Raw genomic sequence first — 27,428 nt, forward strand, 5'->3', positions numbered from 1 at the left:
GAGCCTTTAAATTGGAGGCAATAGACCAGATGATTTTGGAATATGTATACGATGCTTAAAGAGTACCTGATATGGGGTAAGAGTTCAATAAAAGCTATGGGCTATTATTGCTTTAAATTTTTGTTTTTATTTTTGTTTAGAGACAGGGTCTTGTTCTGCCCAGGCTGAAGTGCAGTGGCACAATCATAGCTGACTGCAGCCTCCAACTCCTGGCCTCAAGCAATCCTCCCACCTCTGCCTCCCAAGTAGCTGGGACAACAGGTACATGCTATTGCACATGGCTATTTTTTTTTCTTTTAAGAAATGTGTTCTTGCTGTGTTGCCCAGGCTGGTCTCGAACTCCTGTCTTTAAGCAATCCTCGTACCTCAGCCTTCCAAAGTACTAGGATTACAGGCATGAGCCACCCTGCCCAGCCTATTGCTGTTAATTACTATTATTATTAGGGTTATCATTACTTGATTGAATTAGTGAAATAAACCACTGAAATAATATTTATTTTTCTGTAATCCTTTCATCAGAGTTTTGTAAGGGTCTTCCTCAACATGTGGCTATCTCTAGGCTTCTTTCTAGAAACAGAAAGTAGCCCTCCACAAGACTACTCTCACTGCAGATGCCAGCCACACTTCAAGGGTCCCTGGGATACCCACGCTTCTGAGTGACTGGCTACAAATTCAGAGATTCTCATAACCCCTTCAGGTTTGATAATTCATGAGGGCCTTGTGTCCCTACCAAGTTAGCAAAGAAAACCCAGTACAGCAGCAGGCCTTGCCTCAGATGAGCAACAACCATCAACAGCCTCCAATTGAAAGGCTCCTACACAAGTGCCCTTACAAAATACACAGGCTTATGACCCCCTCTGAATCTGGAGAAGGAGGAGTTCTATTCAAGCCAAAGGTGCCCTTGCGCCTGTATTCTGAGGGCTGCTACCATGAAAAACAGTAGGGTCTAGACTCACAAAGTTGCCTTTACCTGGCTAGCCAAGGCATGTGCTTTATGTCAAAGAGGAATTAACAAGATCTAGGCAAGAAAGTTATAGGGAAGATATTTAAAACACGTATATATGGTAGGAAAAACAAAACATTTGATTTACAGTTTGGCAGGACTATGTTCAAATCTAGTCTTTGCCACCAACCAGCTTTATAACTTGAGGCACATTTTTTATCCCTCTGAATGTGTTTCCCTCTTACATAAAACTGGATAATAATGAGGCACTCATGAGGTTGTTGGAGGGAAGCAATGAAATGATGCATGTAGAGTGTTTACCATAGTGCCTGGCCCAGAGTGAGTGACTGAATGCATGTTACTTACCATCTCTTTCCCTTTATGGGGGCACAGTGAGAAAAATCTTCTACTCGCTTACTATTTAAAAAGCCCAGTGCAGAAAGCTTTCTAGGATCAGATTACCAGTTACTCTTTTCCTGAAAGGCAAGTCTTAGGTTACAGTTTTACTGTAAACATCTTCAAAACACTGCAGGCAGAAAAATCAAGGAGATTTGCAGTTCCTAGAAGGATTCATGATATCCCATGAAAGTTCATATTTCAAGGCTGATCTACTACTGGTTGATGGGATTCTCTCATCAGGGGTTTTCTTTCTCCATGTGGCTTCTTAGAAGATAATCTGACCTTCACAGTTTATTCCCCACAATTTGTCCCTTTACACAGATAGTGTTTTCTATCGCATGAACATTTAGAGACTATTCCTGTTCAGTATTTGCTGCAGGGAATGGAATTGAACTCTTCCATTAATGAAAAATCTTTTTATTTAGTCAGAACTTTTAACTCTTCTTTCCGCCTCTCCCCAGTGCTAAAATCCTGCCTGCCAATATTACCAAGGTAGGAATGACTGCAAAGTTCAAAACTGCTTTCAACAGATACCTATTGGTATGGTGTCACGGGTAGGTAGGATATGGATCCTTCAGAGGCATGTACTTTGTGTCATGTGCAGTCTATAAGTTGCTGGCCGAGGAAACATCATTAGACTAATACTAATCAACCAATAATTATGTATTTGTAATTAAGCATGGTTGCAAACATTAACTATAAAAATGTTCACTCTAGTATTTTTTAGTGTTCCTACTTCATAAAAAAGGTAGAAACAAACTAAATGCACAGCCCCTAAAGAATTGGTTAACTCAGTTACTGAATTTATGTGTAATAATAGGTCGCTATTTAGCTATTAAAAATGAAGTTGTAGAAATACATTTATTAACATATTTACATATTAGCAGTCTAAATGTGCCAAAAAGAAAAGAATAAAATTATGTTGTACAGTCTCATTCTTGCAAAAGAAAAGTTTATATATTATATATACATATAGACAATGAATATGCCAAGGAAAATAGCTAAAAGGATATGCACTAAAATGCAAGTGATTGAATTACAGTTGAGTTTTATTTTCTTTTTTCTACAATATAATTTCAGTTTTTTCTATCATGAATATGTATTATTTGCATACATTTTAAAAGCTATTATGAGAATAATTATTTCCTGATCACCTCACTAGGTTCAGTGAGATGTAAGAAAAGCATAATAAGGCTTCACAGTAAAAAGAGTTTACGTGCTAGAACAGGCAATATATTAGAAGCCTCAGCCAAACACTAGGGTGCTTACCTCCGTAATAAACTCTCCTGTGTGCGAGATAACCATGGACAAGCCGTATCCCTTTTCTGTACCTCACTTTTTCCATATGGAAAAGCACAGTGACATTCCACACCTCGATATGATATCACTGAGATTGAGTGTATACCTCTTACATGCTCTGGGTCACAGGAAAAACCCACATACTGTCAGCACTCTGGATTTCCATTAGTGATATCAGCCATGGGTTTGTCGGCATATTTATTTAGTATTTCTATTTATTTTGCTATTATTAGATTATGTTCTGGAAATTTTTCCATGCATCATGGAGAGAGGCTTCTCTGTGGGAAATCTTAAATTGGTAATCATTTCCATCAGGAGCAAAGAAGATGTTTTGCTTTTTGCTTCTCTGTTAAGGTTGAGGAGATCTTTTATACATCTCTGTACTGTTTGGTTTTGCAGTGCAGGCTTTTCTGAAGCAAAATTTCACAGATAGTATGGCCTCTGATCAGAGAGCAGGGTAATTCAGCAAAAGGGAAATTAAGAGTTTGCAATGGCTATTTAGTCAGTGTGCAGGCCACTAAAGAGAAAGTAGATTATAAAGTAGAGAAATATCGAAAGTTGCAGGTTGATCTTCAGCTTTTATAAAGAGTCGTTATAACTTCTACATAAGATTCCACGGTTCAAGAACTCTTAAACCTTTGCAATGTCTAATGATATGGAAAAAATACTTATCTAATCATTTAAGAAGAGCAAAGGGTGATTCCTACCAATTGTTTCTTGAAATTAACAGAATAAATCCGACACTGGGTATTTAAAACTGAATAAATATCAATGTTAATAAGCTTTAAATGGGTTTCCGAGACTCTTCCTGATTAACTGTATCATGCACACTTCTACATCTGGCAGAAAACTGAAGTACTGAAAATCTTACTCTGAGGTTGTAGATGATCAGTGTCAGGTACTTAATTACGATTCATCTTCAACTCCAATTTAACCATTAATTAAAGTAGGTATCCTTGACTTGACATTCAGTGCAAGAAAAGCTCAAAAAGAAAATGTATTACACAATTCTGAAAAGCCACTGCCTGGCTCCTTTATGTGTGTTGCTCACGGTAGCTATAGCAACCAGTGTTTAAGACAAAAACACACAAAATCAAAGTCCTAGGCTGATGTGACAGCTCTCAAATGGCTTTGTTCTGTGTCTAAGATTTCCCTTCCTCCTCTTGCATCATATTTCACCCCAAAGCCTTGAATGACTAACGCACCACTTGGGGATGGGCAGACCAATGTTCACAGGAACAAAAGGGAAAAGGGTGGGCTGGAGACAGGCTGTATTAGGACCACCTGTCCTTTCGGAGAAACTAAAATGTAGATGTCCAGTGCAGCTAGTGAGACTCAGTTCCCTCCGTGTTCTGCTGGGAAAGAGACTGTTCTGCAACAGCTGTTGCGTTGTGTCGGCAGTGCCTGTCCATCCCCCTCCAGGAGCATAGATGGGGTCAGCCCCTGCATTGCTCAGCCACAAACTCACCGTAACCTTCCCTGGGCTGAGCATGGGGTGGGAGGGTGGTTTCTATTTCTAGACTAAAAAAGAACAGATGACTTTTCATGTTTAGTTCTAAGTAAAGAAAGAGGAAGGGAACAGGGTGGGAGAGGGAGCTAGAATTAATACTCTGAGCATTTACAGAAAACAAATTGGGGTAGTGATTTTTATTTGGGCTTAAACATTTTAGTTAGTATTTCATTTATTATTCTAGCAGATGTGGGCCACACGTTCAAACAGAAAAGTGGTAAATAGAAACTATTCAATTTGGGCATTCATGTTTTCAACATAAAGGGACATGGACTATTGTATCCAATACTGGCCTAAAATGCTAAAAGCACACTTTTCTAGTATTCTATTAATTGAGAAAAATTAGGCCACCTCCAAAATATGGGAAATTATAGACCCCTGAATATCCCTTTTGGAAAACTACATCTGACATTACATTGCAGGGCATATTATCATGGCTGGAATATTTTTACACATGTAAACCCTTAATTGAATGACAAACTAATAATTCTCAAGAATTTCTTTAAAGGAAGTTTAATATTTTGGTTGGCAAATGTGCCCAGAGGAAGTATCACATTAATAATACTTGCTTTTAACACGGTTCATTTCTTTATATAGTCGGAATGCTTTATGGTGGATTAAATCCACAAATTGAAAAGAGAATGAATGCACTTGAGCTTTTATGACTTATTCTGTCTAAAGAATACTCTTAAGAAGCACAAAAATAAAACCCTGTCTCATGCCTGAGGGTAAGGTTAAATGATTAATGGCTTGAAAAAAAAAGAGAAAGTTACAATATATGTAAGGAAACAATCCATTAATCAGCGATGAGGAGAATATACAATATTGCTTTGCTAATGAAGATCGTAACTGTAGTCTAGCCTTGGACCTACTCAAATTAAGTTGGACCTACATCCAATGATGTGGGGATAAAAAATATAAAAAATTATTATCCATAACACAAATGCTCAATTTCCTCGGGCTCCTGGGTTCAATCACATATTTGGATGAGTTCTTTGACAGTGCTAAGTAGAGAAATGGCTTGTAGAAAAGAGTTCTAGAACTTTCCTAGATGTCTGAAGTGCTGCACATGACATTTATGCCAGAAAAGCTTATTTATTAGTTTCGACCCATGGTCAGTGCCAATGTAAGTAGCGGGTGAGGTGAGCGAACTAGGAGTCTCATTCTGTTGATCTTACCTGCATTTTTAGTATCAAATCCAAAGGAAAAGCAGCAGCATTTTAAGAGATACAGCTACTGGAAATACTTTATTTCGGTCAATTGGCAGACAAGTATAACGTGATTCCTTAATGCAAAGGGACAGATGCCTCTTAATGTAGCCATTAGCAAAAGAAGGGTATGTCTTATTGATTGCTATAGCTAAGAAGCATGCTGATAAATACAAAGTTGGCATTTATAAGGCATTATGCCTTGAGCAGTTCAGATATTCACCAGGGTGGAAACAGAGAACCAAATCAGGGGTTTCCACTACAAGTGACTTAGGCTGCTTGTCTGGCTCTTCTGACAGCCTTGGTCCAGAAGCAGAGCAACATTATAAATAAAAAGTACATAAGGGCACTAAGTGCAGGCACAAGGGACTTGGGTGAGCTGGAGAGGGGTTCCTCCTGTTAGGGTACCAAAATTCCCACCAAAGTGAACACCCTCCCTGTCTTGATCCACCGACAAGCATAGGCTTGGGGTCCAAAGAGATCTGATGTTAAAACATAATTGTTTGAACTGCACAAAGTACTCAATCTCTCTGAACCTTAACTTCTCATCTATAAATTAATGGATTTTTTGAGAAATAACAGGTAAAGTATACAAATTGCTTACTTAGCACAGTGCCAGGTACATATTAAGCCTTTTCTCTATCTCATCAATTTCATTCCCTTATTTATATCTCTGTTTTTTGTTTTGTTTTGTTTTGTTTTTTGTTTTTGAGATGGAGTCTCACTCCGTCACCCAGGCTGGAGTGCAGTGGAACGATCTTGGCTCACTGCAAGCTCCACCTCCCAGGTTCAAGCTATTCTCCTGCCTCAGCCTCCTGAGTAGCTGGGACTACAGTCACCCACAACCATGCCCGACTAATTTTTGTATTTTTAGTAGAGACGGGGTTTCACTGAGTTAGCCAGGATAGTCTCGATCTCCTGACCTTGTGATCTGCCCACCTCGGCCTCCCAAAGTCCTGGGATTACAGGCATGATCCACCGCGCCCAGCCTACATCTCTGTTTTAAACCTACATGGCAATATAAAGGCTGTTCGTTTGCATATCAATACATTCACTTAACTCAACATTTTATCAGTTGTTTGTCTTTTCTTCCCATATTTCCGCATTTGAAGACAAACCATGAAAAAAGCAGAATGGCATGGAGTTATTGTGAGGATAAAAATAGGTAATGCACATAAAGTGCATGGTGGAGGTGAGCATTCATACATCCATTCTCTCCACAAACAATTACTGAGCACTGGCAATATGTATGTGACTATGCCATACATAGTGGGGCACAAAGGAGAGCTAGAATTGGGTCCCTACATTCAAGCAGTTCACAATCTATGTGGAGTGGTAACAGGGGTATATTAAAGTATTACAGCAGAGTGGGACACCAAAAATGCTTTCCAAAAAGAGTCAATGCTCGAGTTGAATCTTGAGAGAAAGACAAATCAACCAGATTAGGAGTAGGGGAGAGTGGAAAGTGTGTTAAGGGGTTGGATAGGGGTGGGAAGGGAAGAAGTGCCAGGTAAATACAACATACCTAGAGCTTCTAAAGCACCTTTCAGTTCCCTGCTCTCAAACGTAAGCACCCAGTGATTGCCGCCCTCTGAGGAAAGCTCCCAACATGAAAGACTGAGCCCCAAACATAAAAACATACCAAAAAAAAAAAAAAAAACAACTTTAAGGAGATACAAATAGGGCAAAGAGAACTCTTTAAAAATCATGATTAATATTATAACTGAGATTACGGAAGATACCATACCCATGAAACAAGAACAGAATGCTATAAAAATTTTAGAGAACGGCCAGGCGCGGTGGCTCATGCCTGTAATCCCAGCGCTTTGGGAGGCTGAGGCGGGCGGATCACGAAGTCAGGAAGATTGAGATCATCCTGGCTAACACGGTGAAACACTGTCTCTACTAAAAATACAAAAAATTAGCCGGGCATGGTGGCAGGCACCTGTAATCCCAGCTATTCAGGAGGCTGAGGCAGGAGAATGGCGTGAACCCCGGAGGCGGAGCTTGCAGTGAGCCGAGATGGCGCCACTGCACTCCAGCCTGGGCGACAGAGCGAGACTCCGTCTCAAAAAAAAAAAAAAAAAAAAAAAAAAAAAAAATTTAGAGAACAACAACAACAACAAAAGAGCCTTTGGAAATTAAAATCTTAAGAGCAAAGCCAAGAGAGTTGAGACATGAAGAGAAAAAAACTAAGGGATAAAATAATCTTACTTTTAAGATGGACAAAACTGAAATCTGTTACTATGTTAAAAATTTTAATTTCCCTTTTGAAGGTTTACAGACAGGAATTATTTCCAGTACCTAAAGCAGGTGACTGTGAGATAATTAATGATACCCTTCGGAAGAGGAGGTGCTGAAAAGAGTGAAAAGATAAAAATGAATTTTTATTCGGCAGTTTAGAAAAATTATTGTTTCCCATCCTGTGAGTGCTGTCAGTGCACAAAAATCATATGACATAAAGTAGGGAGACTCTATTCCTAGTGTTGCATGTGTTAAAGAATGTATATATATTGGAGACAGGGTCTTGCCCTCTCACTCAGGCTGGAGTACGGTGGTGCAATCATGGCTCACTCACCTCCCAGGCTCAAGCAATCCTCCTACCTCAGCCTCCCAAGTAGCTAGGATTATAGGCACACATCATGACACCTGGCTAATTTTTATTTTTTATAGAGATGGGATCTTACTATGTTGCCTAGGCTGGTGTCAAACAATCCACCCATCTCAGTCTTCCAGAGTGATGAGATTATAGGCATGAGCCACGACACCTGGCCAAGAATAATTTTTGAAAGAAAATAAAATCGTCTGGGTGCAGTGGCTTATGCCTGTAATCCCAGCACTTTGGGAGGCTGAGGCAGGCGGATCACCTGAGGTCAGGAGTTCGAGAACAGCCTGACCAACATGGAGAAACCCCGTCTCTACTAAAAAATATAAAATTAGCCAGGCGTGGTGGTGCATGCCTGTAATCCCAGCTACTTGGGAGGCTGAGGCAGGAGAATCACTTGAACCTGGAAGGCAGAAGTTGCTGCAAGCCAAGATCATGCCATTGCACTCCAGCCTGGGCAACAAGAGCGAAACTCCATCAAAAAGAAAAAAAGAAAGAAAGAGAGAGAAAGAAGGAAAGAAAGAAAGAAAAAGAAAGAAAGAAAGAGAAAGAAAGAAAGATGGAAGGAAGGAAGGAAGGAAAAGGAAAGGAAAAAAGAAAGAGAGAAAGAAGGAAAGAAAGAAAAGAAGATAAAATCATGACTTTCAAAGAAATATAAAATTAACACAAAAATTTTTTGGTTTGTTTGTTTGAGACATAGTCTCGCTCTGTTGTCCAGGCTGGAATGCAGTGGCACCATCTCGGTTCACTGCAAGCTCTGTCTCATGGGTTCACGCCATTCTCCTGCCTCAGCCTGCCGAGTAGCTGGGACTACAGGCACCTGCCACCACGCCCGGCTAATTTTTTTTTTTTTTTTGTATTTTTAGCAGAGATGGGGTTTCACCGTGTTAGCCAGGATTGTCTTGATCTCCTGACCTCGTAATCTGCCCGCCTTAGCCTCCCAAGGTGCTGGGATTACAGGCATAAGCCACCAAGCCCAGACTAAAAAATTTTATTCAACTCATTAAGAGTCAACCAATAAGAGATTACAACTGATTCTGAAGACAATTTAAAGTACCACACATTAACAGTGAGGTAAGAAATGCTGAAATGATTTTGAAAAACAGAACTTGGCAAGTGGATTTTGTTTCCCTTGATTTATAATACCTGAATCTTAAATGAAGCTATAAAGTATGTTAAAATTGTATTAGTGTTTGCACTTACAATAGAGCTGTGATTCTTAATTGTATTACCTCTATGTTTATTTTTAAACTTGTTATTGTCTATATTAGTCAGGGCTCACCAGAGAAACAGAACCAATAGGCTATATACACACATACACATATGTATAGAAAGAGATTTATTATAAGGAATTTGCTCACACAATTACAGAGGTGAGAAGTCCCACAGCCTGTGGTCTGCAAGCTAGAGACACAGGAGAGCTGCTGGTATAGTTCAAGTCTGAATCCAAAGGTCTAAGAACTAGGAGAATCCATGGTGTATATTCCAGTCTGAGTGTAGGAGAAGATTAATGTCCTAGCTCAAAAACAGTCAGGCTAAGAGAATGAATTTGCCTTTACCCCCCTTTTATTCTATTCAGGGCTCCAATAAATTGAATGAGGCCCATCCACATTTGGGAGGGTAATTTGTTTTATTCAATCTATCAATTCAATTGTTAATCTCATCCAAACATATCTTCACAGACACACAAAATAATGTTTAACCAAGTACTTGGCCCGGTCCATTTGACACATACAATTAACCATCATATTCACTTCAATTAAGTAAATACTCAAGGGTTGTTTCTCAAGTATTCATGATCCCATCTTAATTGAAAAGCCAAGGCCAGGCACAGTGGCTCATACCTGTAATCCTAGCACTCTGGGAGGTTGAGGTGGCAGATTGCTTGAGCCCAGAAGTTCAAGACCAGCCTGGGCAACATAACTCTACTAAAAATACAAAAATTAGTTGGATGTGGTGGTGCATGCCTATAGTTCCAGCTATTCGGGAGGCTGATATGGCAGGATCACCTGAACCTGGGTAGGTCAAGGCTGCAGTGAGCCATGATTGCACCACTGCACTTCAGCTGGGTGACAGAGTAAGACAGACAGACACTCAGAAAGAAAAAGAAAGAAAGAAAGAGAAAGAAAGAAAGAAAGAAAGAAAGAAAGAAAGAAAGAAAGAAAGAGAAAGAAAGAAAGAAAGAAAGAAAGAAAGAAAGAAAGAAAGAAAGAAAGAAAGAAAGAAAGAAAGAAAGAAAAGGGCAAATCTCCTTTGACAACTTTCCGATTTTTGCCTTCCCCCAAAATGGATGATCCCTTGATAAGGCTGTCAATTAGGTAAATTATTCTTCAGCTCCTTCCTGTCATATCCTAATTTGTATTTTTTCTAGTGTCACAGCCCCTCTCAAAGACCCAACACCAGAACGTGCATGGCTAATTGGCCAAGGTATTCCTTTAGCCAAGCAAAATCAAATGCTAAAGATATTTTCTTCTCATCCATCAAACCCATCTATCCTGTGTCTCCTTTCCTAGAATTTGTTATCTTTTAATCTGAAACTTATTTCATGTTACAGAATTATGTCCTTTCCCAGGTATCATTTGCATTTTAACAGTGAAAACATAATATATATTTAAATATTGAGCACATATTGAGTACAATTTTATGTTGGGCATTATGCTCTACCTCCATCATCATACATGGTCAATTTCTGGATTCAGGAAGCTTACATTCTATTACATTAAGTAAACACAATAATTGCTATAGTAACATTATAAAGTCTCCTCAGGGTACAGTGGCTCATGCCTATAATTCCAGCACTTTGGGAGGCCAAGGCAGAAGGATTGCTTGAGGCCAGTAGTTCAAGACCAGCCCAGGCAGCATAGTGTGGCCCCTTCTGTACAAACAAAACAAAAAATGAAAATTAGCTGAGCATAGTGGTATGCACCTGTAGTCCTAGCTACTCAGGAGACTGAGGTGGGAAGATCACTGAGCCCAGGAGTTACAGGCTGCAGTGAGCCAAAATCATGCCACAGCACTCCAGCCTGGGCAACAGAGCAAGATCCTGTCTCTACAAAAAAAAAAAAAAAATTAAAGTCCCAGAACTCCTTAACTTGATATTCAATTGATTTCAACAATGGTGTCAAGACAATTCAATGGGGGAAATAATAGTGTTATCAAGAAATGGTACTAGGACAACTGAATATTCACATTCAGAAGAATGAAGGAGAAGAATGAAGTTGGACCCCTACCTCACACCACACTCAAAAATTAACTAAAAATTAATCAAAGACCTAAATGTAAGAGCTAACACTATAAAACTCTTAGAAGAAACCATGAAGTAAATCTTCATTACCTTGTGTTATAGACTTAATTGTGTTCCCCTCCAACTTTGTATGTTGAAGCCTTGATTCCCAATATGACTACATTTGGAGATACGGTCTTGAAGGAGGTGATTAAAGTTAAATGAAGTCATGAAGGTAGTGCCCTTATCTAATAGGACTGACATCTTTATAAGAAGAAGAAAGGGCATGAGAGCTATCTCTCTCATCACACACACAGAGGAAAGGTCATGTGAGAAGGTAGCCATCTAGAAGTCCAAAAGAGAGGCCTTACCAGAAACCAATTCTGCTGGCACTTTAGTTCTTGGACTTTTAGCCTCCAGAACTGTGAAAAAATAAATTTCTGTTGTTTAAGCCACACAGTATTTAGTATTTTGTTGTGGCAGCCAGAGCAGACTAATATACCTTGGGTTAAGCAATGATTTAGATATACAACACCAAAAGCATATGCAACCAAAGAAAAATAGGTAAATTGGACTTCACTAAAATTAAATATTTTTGTGCTTCAAAAGATGCCATCAAGAAAGTGAAAGATAACCCAAGCAATGGGAGAAGATATTTGAAAATCATATATCTGAGAAGGGACTTGTATCCAGAATATATAAAGAACTTTTGAATAGACATTTCTCCAAAGACATACAAATGGCCACTAAATATAAGAAAAGATGCTTAACCTTCTTAAATCATTAGGGAAATGCAAATCAAAACCCTAATGAGATACCTTATCACACAATCTAAGATAGCTACAATTTTAAAAATACAATTTAAAAAATTGTTATTTAAAAATAATATAAACAACTGTTGGGGAGGATATGGAAAAATTTGAACCCTCATACACTGCTGATAGGAGTGTAAAATGGTACAGCCACTTTGGAAAACAGTTTGGCACTTAAGCATAGAGTGACTATATGACCCAGAAATTCCATCTCCAAAAGAATTGAAAACATATGTCTACACACAAACTTGTACATAAGTGTTTATACCAGCATTGTTTTTTGTTTGTTTGTTTGTTTTGTTTTGTTTTGTTTTGTTTGAGACAGGTCTTGCTCTGCTGCCCAAGCTGGAGTGCAGTGGTGCAATTTCAGGTCATTGCAGCCTCTGCCTCCCCGATTCAAGTGATTCTCCTGCCTTAGCCTCCCGAGTAGCTGGGATTACAGGTGCACACCACCATGCCTCGCTAATTTTTGTATTTTTAGTAGAGATGGGGTTTCCCTATGTTGTCTAGGCTGGTCTCGAACTCCTGACCTCAGGTGATCTGCCTGTCTCGGCCTCCCAAAGTGCTGGGATTATAAGTGTGAGCCACCGCACCTGGCTCCAGCATTGTTCATAACAGTTAAAAAGTAGAAACCTCCCCAATGTCCATCAACTGATGAGTGGATAAAAGTAATGTAGTATATCCATACAGCAGAATATTATTCAGCCATAAAAAGGGATAAAGTATTGATACATGCTAAAATATGGATGAAACTTGAAAACATTATGCTAAATGAAAGAAGCCAGTCACAAAGACCACATATTGTATGTTTCCATTTATGTGAAATGTCCAGAATAGCCAAAACTGTAGACAAAAAAAGTAAATTAGTAGTTGCCAGGGGTTAAGGGGAATGGACAATGAGGACTGACTGCTAAAGGGGTATAGGGTATTTTTTAGGAGTGATGAAATGTTCTAAAATTAGCTTGTGGTGAGAGTTGCATAACTAGGAATATACTAAAAGTCACTGAATGATACACTTTAAGTGGATGAATTTTAAGGTATGCAAAATATATCTCAATAAAGCTAAATATATGTACATACAATATGTATCATGATAATATGTAATAATAAACACACGCCTTTCTTTCTTTCTTTCTTTTTTTTGAGACAGAGTCTTGCTCTGTCACCAGGCAGGAGTGTAGTGGCGCAATCTCGGCTCACTGCAACCTCCACCTCCCGGGTTCAAGCGATTCTCCTTCCTCAGCCTCCTGAGTTGCTGGGACTACAGGTGTGCGCCACCATGCCCAGCTAATTTTTGTATTTTTAGTAGAGATGGGGTTTCACCATATTGGCCAGGCTGGTCTCAATCTCCTGACCTCATGATCTGCCCGTCTTGGCCTCCTAAAGTACTGGGATTAGAGGCCTTTAACATTTTTTTTACAATAAAAATGCATTTTGAGATTAGAAATAAAAGTTCTTTAAAATAAAAGAGAAAGAAAATATTATGGAACTATATTAATATTTAAATACCTAAAAATTTAAAAATATATAGATATAATAAAACTTCCAAAAACAAAGTTAAAAGAGGAGTCAAACTGGAAAGATATTCATAAATTATATGACAGTGGGTAAATAAGAAAAAGAATACCCCAATATAAAAGTTGGCTAAAGTAATGAACTGTGATATATATAAAAGAAGAAATGTGAAGGTATTTTTTAATAGAAAAACTACTTAACCTTGCCAGTACTCAAAGACATGAAAAAATTAAAGTAATTTACACTTTGTACTTGTTGGATGAGCAAAGATTAAAGTGAATAATCCAGAGTTGTGTGAGAGTCTGGAAAATGGATTATTTATCATGGTTTTGACAAGATAAATACAGTATAAACGGTTACAAAATTTTGGGATGGAAATTTCCAACTATATTCTGAAAGCCTTAAAATATAGCCTTTGACCAGTTGAGAATTTTTTTCTAAGAATACAATCAGATAATTGTACATAGTGTATGTTTAGCTAACAAAGATTGAAAAGATGCTTCCCTACACTACTAATCTGAGAAACTCCAATCAAAACAATATGCTATCTTTCATCCATAAGACTGTCAAAAATTATAAGTTTTTCCAATGTCAAGCACTGGCAAGATTCTGAAAATACAGATATATTTTGGTGTTTGAAAGCTAAATTGGTATACAGTAGTCCCCCTTTATCTGTGAGGGATACGTTCCAAGACCCTCAGTGGATGCCTGAAACCTTTGATCATACCAAATCCTATATATACTGTTTTTTCCTCTATGTACATACTATACAGCATGGATACACTGGACAAAGAGACAATTCATGTCTCAGGTGGGAAGGAGTGGGACAGTGCAAGATTTTATCATGCTACTCAGAACGATGCACAATTTAAAACTTAAGAATTATTTCTGGAATTTTCCATTTAATATTTTCAGACTGAGGTTGACTGTGGGTAACTGAAACCACAGAAAATGAAACCACAGATAAAGGGGAATGACTTTACTCCCTTTGGAAGACAAATTTGACACTGCCTATTAAAAAAATACTAAATATACTCTGTAACTCAATAATTCTACTTTTGGGTGTCTAACCTAGAAAAAAATATACACACTCACAAAGAAAAGCATATAAACACATGCATGTTCATGTATTATTTGTAATGGAAAAAAACAGGGGGCAGCCTAAATTTCCACATGTAAGAGACAAATAAGAGATATGAAGTCATACAATAAAGGAATGAATTACATATATGTCTAACTACATGGGAATGGATCTCAAAAAAATTTCTGAATGGGAAAAGCAAACTGCAGGATCATATTTGCAGAACAACATCACTTATGTAAAAAACACAAGGCATTAGTAAATGTTTTTGATACATATATAATATAAATGTATAAAAGTGGGTTGCACTATGTACCAACTCAGTTATTTCCTCTGAAGAGAGAAGGGAGGGGACCAGAATAGTAAGTGGTGGCCAAAGGGAATTTTCATTTTACCTGGAACAGTCTCACCTTTTTTTTAAAAAAAAGAAAAAAGAAAAAATATTTGTATATTTTTATATGTTTTAAAAGAAGAATATTTGTATATTTTTATGTATGAAAAGACTGGGAAATGATGTGTTGAAACATTGGCAGTCATTAATTCTGGGCAGTGGAAAATGAGTGTTGTTAGTTTCTGCTTCTACATTTTTGTTTATTAAAAATCCAAGCTCATCACCCAGAGATGCATATGAAGAATCTTTACCACAGCCTTGTTAATAAAAAGAAAAGGAGGCCAGATGCAGTGGCTCATGCCTATAATCCCAGCACTTTTGCTTGAGCCCAGGGGTTCGAGACCAGTCTGGGCAACACAGTGAGACCCTGTCTCTATAAAAAAAAGAAAACAAAAGAAAATTTAAAACAACTTAAAAGTTCCAAAATAGAATGTTAATTAAATTATTTTATACCATAGAAGAAACTATTATTAAAAATAATGGGCCAGGCGCGGTAGCTTACGCCTGTAATCCCAGCACTTTGGGAGGCTGAGGCGGCAGATCGTGAGGTCAGGAGATGGAGACCAGCCTGGCCAACATGGTGAAACCCTGTCTCTACTAAAATACAAAAAATTAGCCTGGCATGATGGTGCGCGCCTGTAGACCCAGCTACTTGGGAGGCTGAGGCAGGGGAATTGCTTGAACCCGGGAGGCGGAAGTTGCAGTGAGCCGAGATTTCACCTCTGCACTCCAGCCTGGTGACAGAGCAAGACTCCGTCTCAAAAATAAATAAATAAATAAATAAATAATATAGACGCAGACATTTAAAAACTAAAGCAAAGTTTAACGTAATTATTAAAGTTTAAAAAAGCAAATGCAAACAGAATTTATGTTAGGAATCCATTTTTGTGAAAAGCAAACATTTCCAAGTGATGTGCCCGTGGGTAACTTCCTTTATGCATATACTTGCAGCACATAGTTCAGACTAGCCACATTTCAAGGGCTTCTCTGAAGAGAGCCTCACTAATTAAGTAATAAAGTTAATCAAAGAAATAAACAGTCTATCGAGAATAGGGAAACAAGAGAAGTCGATATTAAACCTAGTATCACCCTAGGTGATATTCAGTGTTTTAATTTAGCTTCTGTAAATTCCTTTCATTATCATTTTAAAAACCTGTCTAGCAACGGCTTTTCCCATGGAGACACAGAATTTCATGTTGCCAAATGGAACTTTCTGATGAGCAAAAATAATCTGAGACAAAATTTCCTACTAAAATGCAAGTGATTTGTTGTGCTACCTCCTCATATGAGACAGCTGACAACACAGAGCAACAAGTTCCAGGTATAGGAACCTGAGTTCTAGTCCTCACCAGTTATTTCTAAATGACAGAGAGCCAGACCTCCTTCCCCAGAATGACCTAGAGTGCTTGTTAAAAATAAAGCTTCACATGGGGCCTGACTCTCAGGATGTGCTAGGTCCTGGCACACACAGATTCCTATGCACACTAAAATTTGAAATGCTGTGTGAAACGCCAGGCCTAGGCCCATCAAATGGGTGATGAGCATGCTAGGACATGGATCAAACTCCCTAGAATGCAGAGAATGCCTCTGATCCATCATAAAGAAAGTCTGCTTCTGACAAAGGACCCTCTTCAGTCTTAATGCACCTTAAGATGATAACAAGCATGGCTAAACGGCCTCTATGAAGACGTTTTAAATGGTTTTCCCGGCTGGGCATGGTGGCTCACACCTGTAACCCCAGAACTTTGGGAGGCCGAGGCAGGTGGATCACCTGAGGTCAGGAGTTCGAGACCAGCCTGATTAATATGATGAAACCCCGTCTCTACTAAAAATACAAAAATTAGCCAGTCATGGTAGTATGCGCCTGTAATCCCAGCTACTAGGGAGGCTGAGACAGGAGAATCGCTTGAACCTGGGAGGCCGAGGTTGTAGTGAGCCAAGATCGCGCCATTACACTCCAGCCTGGGCAACGAGAGTGAAACTCCATCTCAAAAAACAAACAAACAAAAAAAGGTTTTCACTATCCCTTTCCTGCCTGCGGCCAATTTCTGGCTATAGGAGGTGGTGATAGAACAAGAAAGTGAAGTGCTCCATCCTCAGTAAATGTGAGCAGAGGTACACACGGAGCACCCTCTGGGGTGGAATGTTCTAGACTTGCATTGCTCCCTCTGGTACCCACTGGCCACATAAAGTTATTGGGCACTTGAAATGTGGCTAGTCTGAACTGATACGTGCTACAAGTATAAAAAACAAACTGATGTTGAAGACTTAGTAAAAAAAAAAAGTGTAAATGATTTCATTATTTTAAAATTGATTGTGTGTTGAAGTAATATTGTTATGTATCTGTTTAAATATATTATTAAAATAGATTTCTTCTGTTTCTTTGTACTTTTTAAACATGACTACTAGAGAATCTTGAAGTACACATGTGGCGGCTTGTATTATATTTCTGACAGCAATCCTCTCGATTGAAAAGTAAGCAGGTGCTGCCTAGCAAAAAATATAATAGACAGTGGCCACTCCATTGCCATTTAACCTAGCCCAAACAGAAACATGGTTTGCTTTTGAAAAAGTCTCTGTCTGACTTGCACTGAAGTTGCTAAAAGATTCCCCTCCTTTTCTCTGCTGAAGTTTTCTGTGGTGAAATGAGAGATGCACTCTTATTTTTAGTTTTCAGTCTCTCAGTTCCTCAAGATTGGGGAACATGTTGCACTCTATGCACTCGTTGCATGGCTGCTCACCCACTATGCCTGTAAAATAAAGATCTGCCATACAGCAGAGACGAACCACAATGATCACCATCAGTGCACACTCTCTTCTATTGGTCCCACCAGATGGTTGCTCATCAGTATTTGTGGTTTTTCATTAGTGTTCACATTTGTAGACGAAGAATTATTGCTTGTTGATGAGAATTTATTACTAATGAGTAAATGCTGATCTACAGATGGTACTAGAATTCTGGTTAACACCGAACAATAGCGCTCAAGGCAGCTCAAGCACCAAAAGACACCTGTTTTGTAGAAAACTTGGGGAATAAGAATATATGTGTATATATATATGAATATGTATATATAACATTATTATATATAATATGTATTATATATATCTTATATATATCTTATATATATAATAATATATATGATATATCTATACATATATATACATATATGTACATATATATACATATATGTACATATATATATGTATATCTATTTGAGACAAGAGTTTCACTCTTGTTGCCCAAGCTGGAGTGCAATGGTGCAATCTTGGCTCACTGCAACCTCTGCCTCCCGGGTTCAAGCGATTCTCCTGCCTCAGCCTCCCAAGTAGCTGGGATTACAGGCAGGCACCACTGCACCCGGCTAATTTTTTGTATTTTTAATAGAAACGGGGTTTCACCATGTTAGCCAGGCTGGTCTCGAACTCCTGACCTCAGGTAATCCACGTGCCTCAGCCTTTTAAAATGCTGGGATTACAGGCATGAGCCACCACGCCAGCCAGAATATATTTAACTAGAAAAAAAGAAGCAATGAGATTAGAATTATAAATAGAATACACATTCAGTAATCATAGAGGGAAGAACTTGATCTAGGAAGGTAATAGCTGGACAGAAGGAATTTCAGATGTGAGTATGGATTTTAGAGCTAAGACGTATCTTCCAGACTGGGGAAAGCTAGAACCCACTGTGACTCTATGTGTTTAATTACATATTGAGCGCTTCTTATAAAATGATAAATAGCTTGCGCATGTACCCATACATCTGCAACATACCCCAGCACATATATGTGCACATGTGCAGTCACACACACACACAGAGGCAGAGTTCACCTGACACCACCCTCCGTTTATAGCTGGAGGCGTCACCATTCCCATAAGAACCCCTTATGGGAAATGTGAAGGTTTTCAAGTATGAATCTGAAAAAGTTTAGAGGATTGTAATGTTTAATCTTGAGACATTTGTTTTTCTGGGGCTGCTTGTACCAGTGAGCAATTATCAAAACAAGGATTAGCTAAAATCCAGCTTTTGCCAGTTCAGGAAAATCTGTGGGTCAAAGGGAGGAGTTTTTGAAAATCATAAACACATTTTGAGGGATTAAGCAATTCATTAACAATGTGCCTCTCTGTGGGACCTGCCCTGTTCCTCCCTATTCCAATATTCTTTGCTCCCAAACTCTTACTCTGTCTTGTGTGTGTGTTTTTTAAATTTCATAATATACTGCCAATTGGAGATAATCTGAATTATAAGATTCCTAAAAATAAAAATAATTCTGTGAATGTAGGGGCCATCAGTCCTTCACGTAATTGTGTACATCTGTTCAATAACACCTGAGATACTGTGCTGGAAAAATAAATGGATGGGCTGACTGCGAGGAGAAGGGAGCAAGTAATTTTTGGAATTTGTAGCACTTTAGGAATTCAGACAGACCTGCAAGGTGCCATGGTGGAGAATGCAGAGTGCCAGGAGGGAATGAGGGCCTTGTGAGAAGGCATACCAGCTACTGAGAGCAAGCCATAAAGGGAGGTGAGAGGAATGTTGAGGACAAACTCCAACTGGTTCCAGTTTTCCTAGGGCACCATCCATTGGCTTAGAAGAAGGATAATATATGCTGTTTCCTCCCTCACGCCTCTCATTCCTGCAAGGACTTCTCCCTTCCCCAACCATTCAGACCTCAGGCAAACAAGATCAATGCTATGACTCAACTCTTTTCTAGGATGCATTTGCTTTTGTTGTCTAGCCTGGAAACTTGATCACTGATCTTTTTTTTTTTTTTTTAAGAAAAAAGAGATATTCCCTAATGCAAGTGGGGGAAATGGGGACAAAACAGACTTTTAGGACAAAATAATTCTTAAGATGTAAACAACCCATCTATAGTCATGTATCGTTTAACGACAAGATATGTCCTGAGAAATACATCATTAGGCGATTTCATTGTGTGAACATCATGGAGTGTACTTATAAAAACCTAGATGATTTCGCCCACTACACACCTAGGCTATATGGTATAGCCTGTTGCTTCTAGGCATTGGGAGCACGTGACTCTGCTGTGCAGCATGTTATGGTACTGAATACCACAGGCAATTGTAATACAACAGTATGTGTGTATCTAAACACATCTAAACAGAGAAGGTACAGTATTATAATCTTATGGGATGGTATTATAATCTTATGTGATCACCATATATGGACCGTCATATAAAGTATGGTATTTGAATCTTATGGGACCATCATATAGGTGGTCTATCATTATGTGGCACATGGCTGTATATAATTTGCATCCTCTTAATTGCCTCAGACTTCTAATACAGTAGTGTTTATAACTCTTGACATAATTAACCTATGATCCCAGCATAAAGATAGTCCTTTATATAAAAACATTTCATTTCATAAAAAATTCTCTACATTGTCTTTTTAAGATTATTTTCATCATTATTTTGCAGATTCATGAAAATGTTTTTATGGATAGTATGTGGGGTCCTGTGTGGTCAGGCAGCCTCAGTGCTAGTGCAGCCATCTGGGAATTTTCTCTGTGTTCCATCTGATACCTACAGCAGTCCCAGGCTGACTTCCTTTTCTTCCTCGTTCAAAACCACTACCCACTGTGAAACCTATCACCAAATGCCTCTTTCCTGTTTGAGGGAAAATGCTCAGCTCTTGAACCCACTAAGGAACTGGGCTCTTCTCAGCTCATGATACAATATCACCCTTACTTCTGCCCAAGTTGAGTACAGTGACACATGCTTAGCATCTCCATTTCTAGAACCCAACAGCAAAATGAAATCACAAGGGAAAAATGCAGAGCATTGCATAGCAGTTATTCTCTTCTATTACAAATGTAACAAGCCTGCACCTGTACCCCCTGCATCCAAAATAAAAGTTGAAATTATTTAAATAACAACAAAAAAACAAATACAAGGAGATGGGGATGCCAGTAAGCATTTAACAACTGGATCTGTGAGGGAAGCCCTAATTTGTAGCATCTGCAGATTTCTTTGTTGGAAATACTCCCATTACGACTGATGTCTTGCTACCAGTGTGACATCACTGAATGTGAGGTTGGGGAGAGATGTACAGTAACACATCATGACAGTACTTCCAGCACTCAGATTCAGAGGGACCACAAGAGCACAAATAATAGTAAAATGAGTAACAATTAACAAGTGATGACCTTAGAGTATTTATTACCTTTGTTTTCAATATAATATAATTATGTTTATACAATTTAATTTTTAATATCAGCTGTGTTTAACAATTGGCTCACAAAATTTCCCAAATTTGACAATGGGTTTTGTGAGGCAGGGCTGTGGGTTCCCAGCATACCACCGATGTGCATCTACCTTGAGCAGGGAACTCTTCACCTGAACGTTAAGTAGGGATGTGCCTTGTGACAAGGCTTTCTGAAATGATGGCTGTAAGGATCTGCCACAAGTGAATTGGGACACAATCAAACACTTAAAATCCTATGTTCATCTCTGATACGTCTGGGTTTTTGTTAGAGATTCCCATCCTAGCATTGACCTTACTCAAAGCTGCTCAACTTGCAAATTCTAGCGTGCTTGTAGCCAGAGGTAGTGTAGCTTCAAGCATAGTTAACTTACATGCCTAAGTCAAGAGGGAGTTGACCCTGTTATTCAGAATCACTGTTACACGTGTGTGAAAAGTAATGGGGTTATATTTTGCTTGCGTTAACTATGTTTAGATTTAAATGAGTATAATTTTCTAAAACAATAACATAAATCCCAGAGAAGAAAACCTGTCACTCGCAAGAAAGCAAAGCCAGAAAGAAGCATTCCAATATCTCCCTTTCCCCTTTAACTGGGTGGTTAGTCTTCTGACAACCCAAAATATTATTTTAGGAGCTTGAGACACAGGGAGAGGGCACAGACAACCCGAGAGAAAAGGTTACAATCACAGTTTGGTGAAGAGAAAATACTCTCAAAGATAATATGCCATGACATATTGTACTGAAGTGTGGCTTTCCATGAGAAATTCCACATCACAAGGTTCTCATGTAATACAGGACTAAAGTCATCCCTAATCTTAAAATCCAATGTCTAAGTGCTAGCACAACCTGCTGTGAAAGAAGCCTCTTAAATAAATCCTACACGCTGTAATATTTCTGCCACGAAACAGAACACGTGTGCCAGGATAACTCCCGGCAAAGAAAGTTACAGAAACCAAAAGAGTAAACAGAATTCTTTCTGTCCACTCAGCCCATCTTTTACTTGTAGACAAGGTTTTGCCACACATGGACTGCCCATTTTAGGGTTAAAGAGCCCATGCAGAGATTTGACCTTTAAAGAGAAAAAGAAAATGAAAATTGTATGACACCCTCAATAGGGGATATTTTGAAAGCTAACTTGGGATGGTTTGTCTAAAATGTATGACCAGGGAATTTTTACCAATGGAAGGTCGGCAGAGTCTTCATCTGAGAATTCCTGATCAAGAGTGACAGGGCTGGATACCTAGAGGCAAGACCTCAGCCTTCACACCCCAAAACAGCACCATGGCTTCCACATAACTCAGGAAACACCCTCTGTTTTTTATTTCCATTATTTTTGAAAAGTTTCAGGTTGCTATATTCAGTTTTTTGATCCTATCTATATTTCCTAATCAGATGTTCAACAGCTTTAACATCTATGTGACTATGACATGCAAAACACTGGTGCTGAGACCTAGAAAGTCAGTTTTCCCTTATTTGTGTTTACTGAGTATTATGGGTTGAATTGTATTCCCCCACACTCAATTCATATGTTGACTCATATGCTGAAGTCTTAATCCCCAGGATCTTAGAGTGTGACTTTATTTGGAAAAAGGGTCTTTGCAGAGGCAGTCAAATTAAAGTGAGGTCATTAGGGTGGGTCTTTTGCTGTTTTTTTGATTTGGTTTGGTTTGGTTTGGTTTTTTCTTGAGACGGGGTTTACTGCATCACCCAGGCTGGAGTGCAGTGGCATGATCTCAGCTCCCTGCAGCCTCAACCTCCCAGGCTCAAGTGATCCTCCCACCTCCGTCTCCCAAATAGCTGGGACCACAAGCATGACCACCAAACGTGACTAATTTTTGTATTTTTTGTAGAGACGGGGTCTTGCTATGTTGCCCAGGCTAGTCTTGAACTTCTGAACTCAAGCAATTCTCCCGCCTCGGCCTCCCAAAGCACTGGGACTACAGGCATGGACCACTGCCCCTGGCCAGGGTGGGTCTTAATCCAATATGACTGGTATCTTTATAAAAAGGGTAAATTTGGTCACAGAGATAGACATGCATAGAAGGAGGATAATAGAAAGTAGATGGCCATCTACAAGCCAAGGAGAGAGGCCTGGAACACATCCTTCCCCTACAGCCCTCAGAAGGAACCAACCCTACAGACAGGGCTTGATTTTGGACTTGTAGCCCCCAGAACTGTGAGACAATACATTTCTGTGGTACTTTGTTACAGCAGCCCTAGCAAACCAATACACCTAACATATGCTATAGAGCCACATTGTTCTTCCACGTCACAGTGGATGGCGAGCCCTGGGGCCACATCTCCTTCCTTGAGCTGTTTGCAGACGGTTCCAGAGATAGCAGACAACTTTTGTATTCTGACTATTATGGGTTGAACTGTATTCCCCCACACCCAATTCATATGTTGATTCATATGCTGGAGTCCTAACCCCCTAGATCTTTGACCACTGGAGAGAAAAGAAGTATTCCTGCTTTCACAGAATTATTCCAGGGGTTTTATGCCAGGGTGGTGACTTCATATGCCATAGTGGTACTGACACAAGTCCATCTACGGGGAGAAATTTGAGGATGAGAACTTCATCCTGACACATACAGGTCCTGGCATCTTGTCCATGGCAAATTCTGAACCCAACATCAACAGTTCCAGTCTATCATCTGCACAGCTGGGCCTGAGTGGTTGGATGGCAAGCATGTGGTTTTTTGGCAAGGTAAAGACAGAAGGAATATCTTGGAAGGCACAGAGTGCTTTGGGTCCAGAAATGGCAAGACCAACAAGAAGATCGCCATTGCTAACTGTGGACAACTCTAATAAATTTGGCTTGTGTTTTATCTTAGCCACCACACTGTTCTTTCTGTAGCTCAAGAGAGTATCCCTCCATCCCATCTGTTTGCAATGTCCATTATCTTTGTGCTCTTGTTGCAATTCTTTGGGTTCCATATTTTCCTTATTCTCTAAGTCTAGCTGGATTACAGAGTTAAGTTTATAATTATGAAATAAAAAATAAATAACAAGAACAAATGGTTATCTTCCCAAAATAAAATATCACATAGCACTCAAAATGCTAATGATGTAAAAAAATCCAATGAGAGGGAAGATGGTGGGGAGTGGAGGGAGAAATGTTAATATTTCTCCCTCGTTTGTTGGCTCATGGGTGATTTTTATGGCCTTAAGTAGCAATATTTTCTAAATTCTTTACAAAAGACATGAATAACCATTATAATTAGAAAAATATATTAAAAAACTTGGGTACCAGAATACATAAAACAATTTCTTATGGGAATGATCTTGAGATAATTTGGCCTAGTATTTAATTCATATAAATATTTTATTTTAATATGTATATACATAAGTGGACACAAATCTTAAGTGTACAGCATGATAAATTTTCACAAAATAAAGTAGCCACATAAACAGCACCCAGATAAAAAATACCAGCATCCCAGAGACCTCTCATGTTCTCTTCTATTACTATCCCCTAAAGGTAACTGTTACTCTGTCTTCTAACACTATCAATGGCTTTACCTCTTTAAAAAAATGTTACATAAGTGGAATCATACAGTATATACTCTTTTTACTCAGTGTTTTTTGGTGCGGTTCCTCCTATTTTCACACGTAGACATAGCTTGTTAATTCTCATAGCCAGATAGCACGGGTTGGCAAACTATGGCTTACAGGCTTACAGGCCAGCTGACTGTTTTGTAAATAAAGCTTTATTGGAACACAGCCATACTCATTCCTTTATGTCTACGACTGCTTTCATGCTACAATGGCAGCACTGAGTAACTGTAACAGAGATCATATGGCCCTCAAAGCCTAAAATATTTACTATCTGGCCCCTTACAGAAAAAAGTTTGCCAACCCCTGCGATATAGTATTATGTGCCTATGCCACAATCTATTTATCCACTGTACCGTTGATGAGCAACTGTGTTGATTTTAGTTTGGGGCTATCATGGAGTTGCCAGATTTAGCAAATAAAAATACCTAATGTCTCCTTAAATTTGAATTTCAGACAAACAATAAATATTTTTAGTGTAAGTATATCCCAAATATTGTATGGCAACCCTAGGCTATATGAATACATGTATGAATATATGAATAGCATAACTATGAACATTTGAATAGGTAACTTTTGGTGAACACATATACACAACTCTGTTAGGTATATTGCTAGCAGTGAAATTGCTCAGCCATAAAGGATGTGTATGCTCATGCTTAGCAAATACTAATAAAGATTTTTCCAAAGCAGTTTTACCAGTTTACAGTTTCACTAGCAGTGTAAGATTTGTTTCTTATCTTTGGCAATGCTTAGTATAGTTGGTCCTTTTAATTTTAACCAATGTGATGGGTATGTAGTGGTATCCCATTATAGTCTTAATTTATATTTTCCTGCTGACAAATGAATTTAAGCATTAGTTGGGCTGTCTTTTTCGTGATGGCCAGTGATTTATTATATGTTCTAGCTTCAGTTGGTGAACTAGAACAATTATATATCCTTTCTCTTTGTCTCTTCATTTTCTCTCTCTTCAGAATTTGACTTGGGGAAGAAGAAGAAAAGAAGGTGGATTTCAGCATGAAAGAATCTAAACAGTCATTAGTGAACAAATGTGTAGCAGTGCTGTCCAACAGAACTTTCTGAAGAAGTAATGGGAATACTCTGTATCTGTGATGTCCTGTATGGTAGCCACTGGCCTCACACAGCTCTTGAGCACTTGAAATGTGGCTACTGTGACTGAGTAATTGAGTTTTAAAATTTCATCAATTTTAATTAATTGAAATTTAAATAGCCACATGAGGCCAGTGACTACAGAATTGAACAGCACAGGTCTCACAGATGGACTAAGAGTAAGCCAGTTACGAAGAAGCTTATACAGGAAGACCGGCTAAAATATGTCAAAGGAGAGTTTCTCTTTCTGAACTCCGAGGAGCTGTTCAAATAAGACTGGTCTGGAGAGAGTTTTGGGTGGCTGGAGGTATTTTCACCCCTCCACTTACTGTGCCTAACCTTAGTATTGTTGCCATTCTCACGTTTCTGTATGACTCCATCTCCCTTGTTCTGTTCCGATGCCGCTTTTTCAGTTTTTCTGAGCTCTCAATTAAACACAGTGAAATGAATCTCCTCCAAGTGCCTTTTTAGTGACTAAACTGAATAGTTGGCTCAGAATGCTACAAAGTCCTCTCCCTCAGGAAGAACCAAGTTTTACCATTAAGATCCTGATAGATTTACCAGCTTTAACTGACACCTCTTGGGGTGGCTTCCAGATTCACACTTTCTCCTTTTTGAGAAGACTCCCAGACACACGGGGATAGGTCCTGAGTGATCATATTTGAGCCACACAATCTTGTTACGCTTGCTGTAGATCCATGGTTCAAAAACATTCAAGTGTGTCTGACTCAGCTGGAGGACTTGTGAAGACACATGTGGTGGGACCCATCCCTAAAGCTTCTTTTCCAGTAGGTGTGTAGGTGTGGCCCAAGTATCTGCATATCTAACAAGTTCTCAGGTGATACTGATGTTGCTGGTCTGGGGATTGTACTTTAAGATAATTAAGTCAGGGACTGTTGCCTGACATAGGACAATAAGCTTCTCTCAGGAATTTGAAATTTGGAACAAAGAGCTCGGAGTCTTAGTGCTAGTAGACCAGTGCTCTGGAGAGGTCTGAAAACTACCACTGCTTAGGTTCCTAGTTTGTCCAGTTCCTGTTTGTCTTGAGCCTTGGTTGTCTAATCCTTTGAATAAATCCCATTACATTCTTTGTTTTGCATAAACTGGCCATAGAAAGTTCTTGTTGTCTGCCCCTAAAAGAACTTTAACTAAAGTGTGAGTATGTCAGTTAAAGTGTTCCACCAAAAAAACAGAAACGATTCTAAGTAGTATTTAAAACAGAGATAATGTGGTCCAGAGAATTGGCCATACTGTGATAGAAGATCTGTGAAGCCAAACACCCAACGCAGAGATTAGCAACAGCAGGAAGCTATCTCTACCGCTAGGCAAGAGGGACAAAGGGAGAAGGTGGTGTTACAAGGCCAGGGTGACCTGGAAGAAGCTGGAACCATGACAGACCAGTCCAACAAGGAAAATGCTGCTGCCACTGCCAGAAACATCACCCAATGCACCTCTGAGGAAGTGAAGAAATTCCCTAGCTTCTCTCTTCCTCCTGCCTACAATCCCCCAGCAGTGCCTCTCCATGCTGGGAAGCTTGGGAAAAGCTCCCTATG

General features: G+C 39.0%; 1 long non-coding RNA gene and 1 pseudogene across 1 annotated transcript, besides 1 other annotated feature; both read left to right on the top strand.

Annotated features, from left to right (window-relative positions):
- The first annotated feature begins 220 nt into the window (after positions 1-220).
- LOC107984642 (uncharacterized) lies at positions 221-26,324 on the top strand. Its single transcript, XR_001750928.1, has 2 exons — positions 221-261; positions 25,740-26,324. It is a non-coding gene; the product is annotated as an uncharacterized LOC107984642 (long non-coding RNA).
- Positions 12,777-12,946: an enhancer, noted in NCBI's record as "experimental_34575 CRE fragment used in MPRA reporter constructs". NCBI's record gives its function as "activates a minimal promoter by MPRAs in K562 erythroleukemia cells, with activity observed for the non-introgressed 14:59637503 variant allele {active_cell/tissue: K562}" and the evidence as "EXISTENCE:reporter gene assay evidence [ECO:0000049][PMID:34662402]".
- PPIAP5 (peptidylprolyl isomerase A pseudogene 5) lies at positions 23,648-24,221 on the top strand (annotated as a pseudogene).

The sequence above is a fragment of the Homo sapiens genome, chromosome 14, assembly GCF_000001405.40.
Source record: "Homo sapiens chromosome 14, GRCh38.p14 Primary Assembly".
Lineage (NCBI taxonomy): Eukaryota > Metazoa > Chordata > Mammalia > Primates > Hominidae > Homo > Homo sapiens.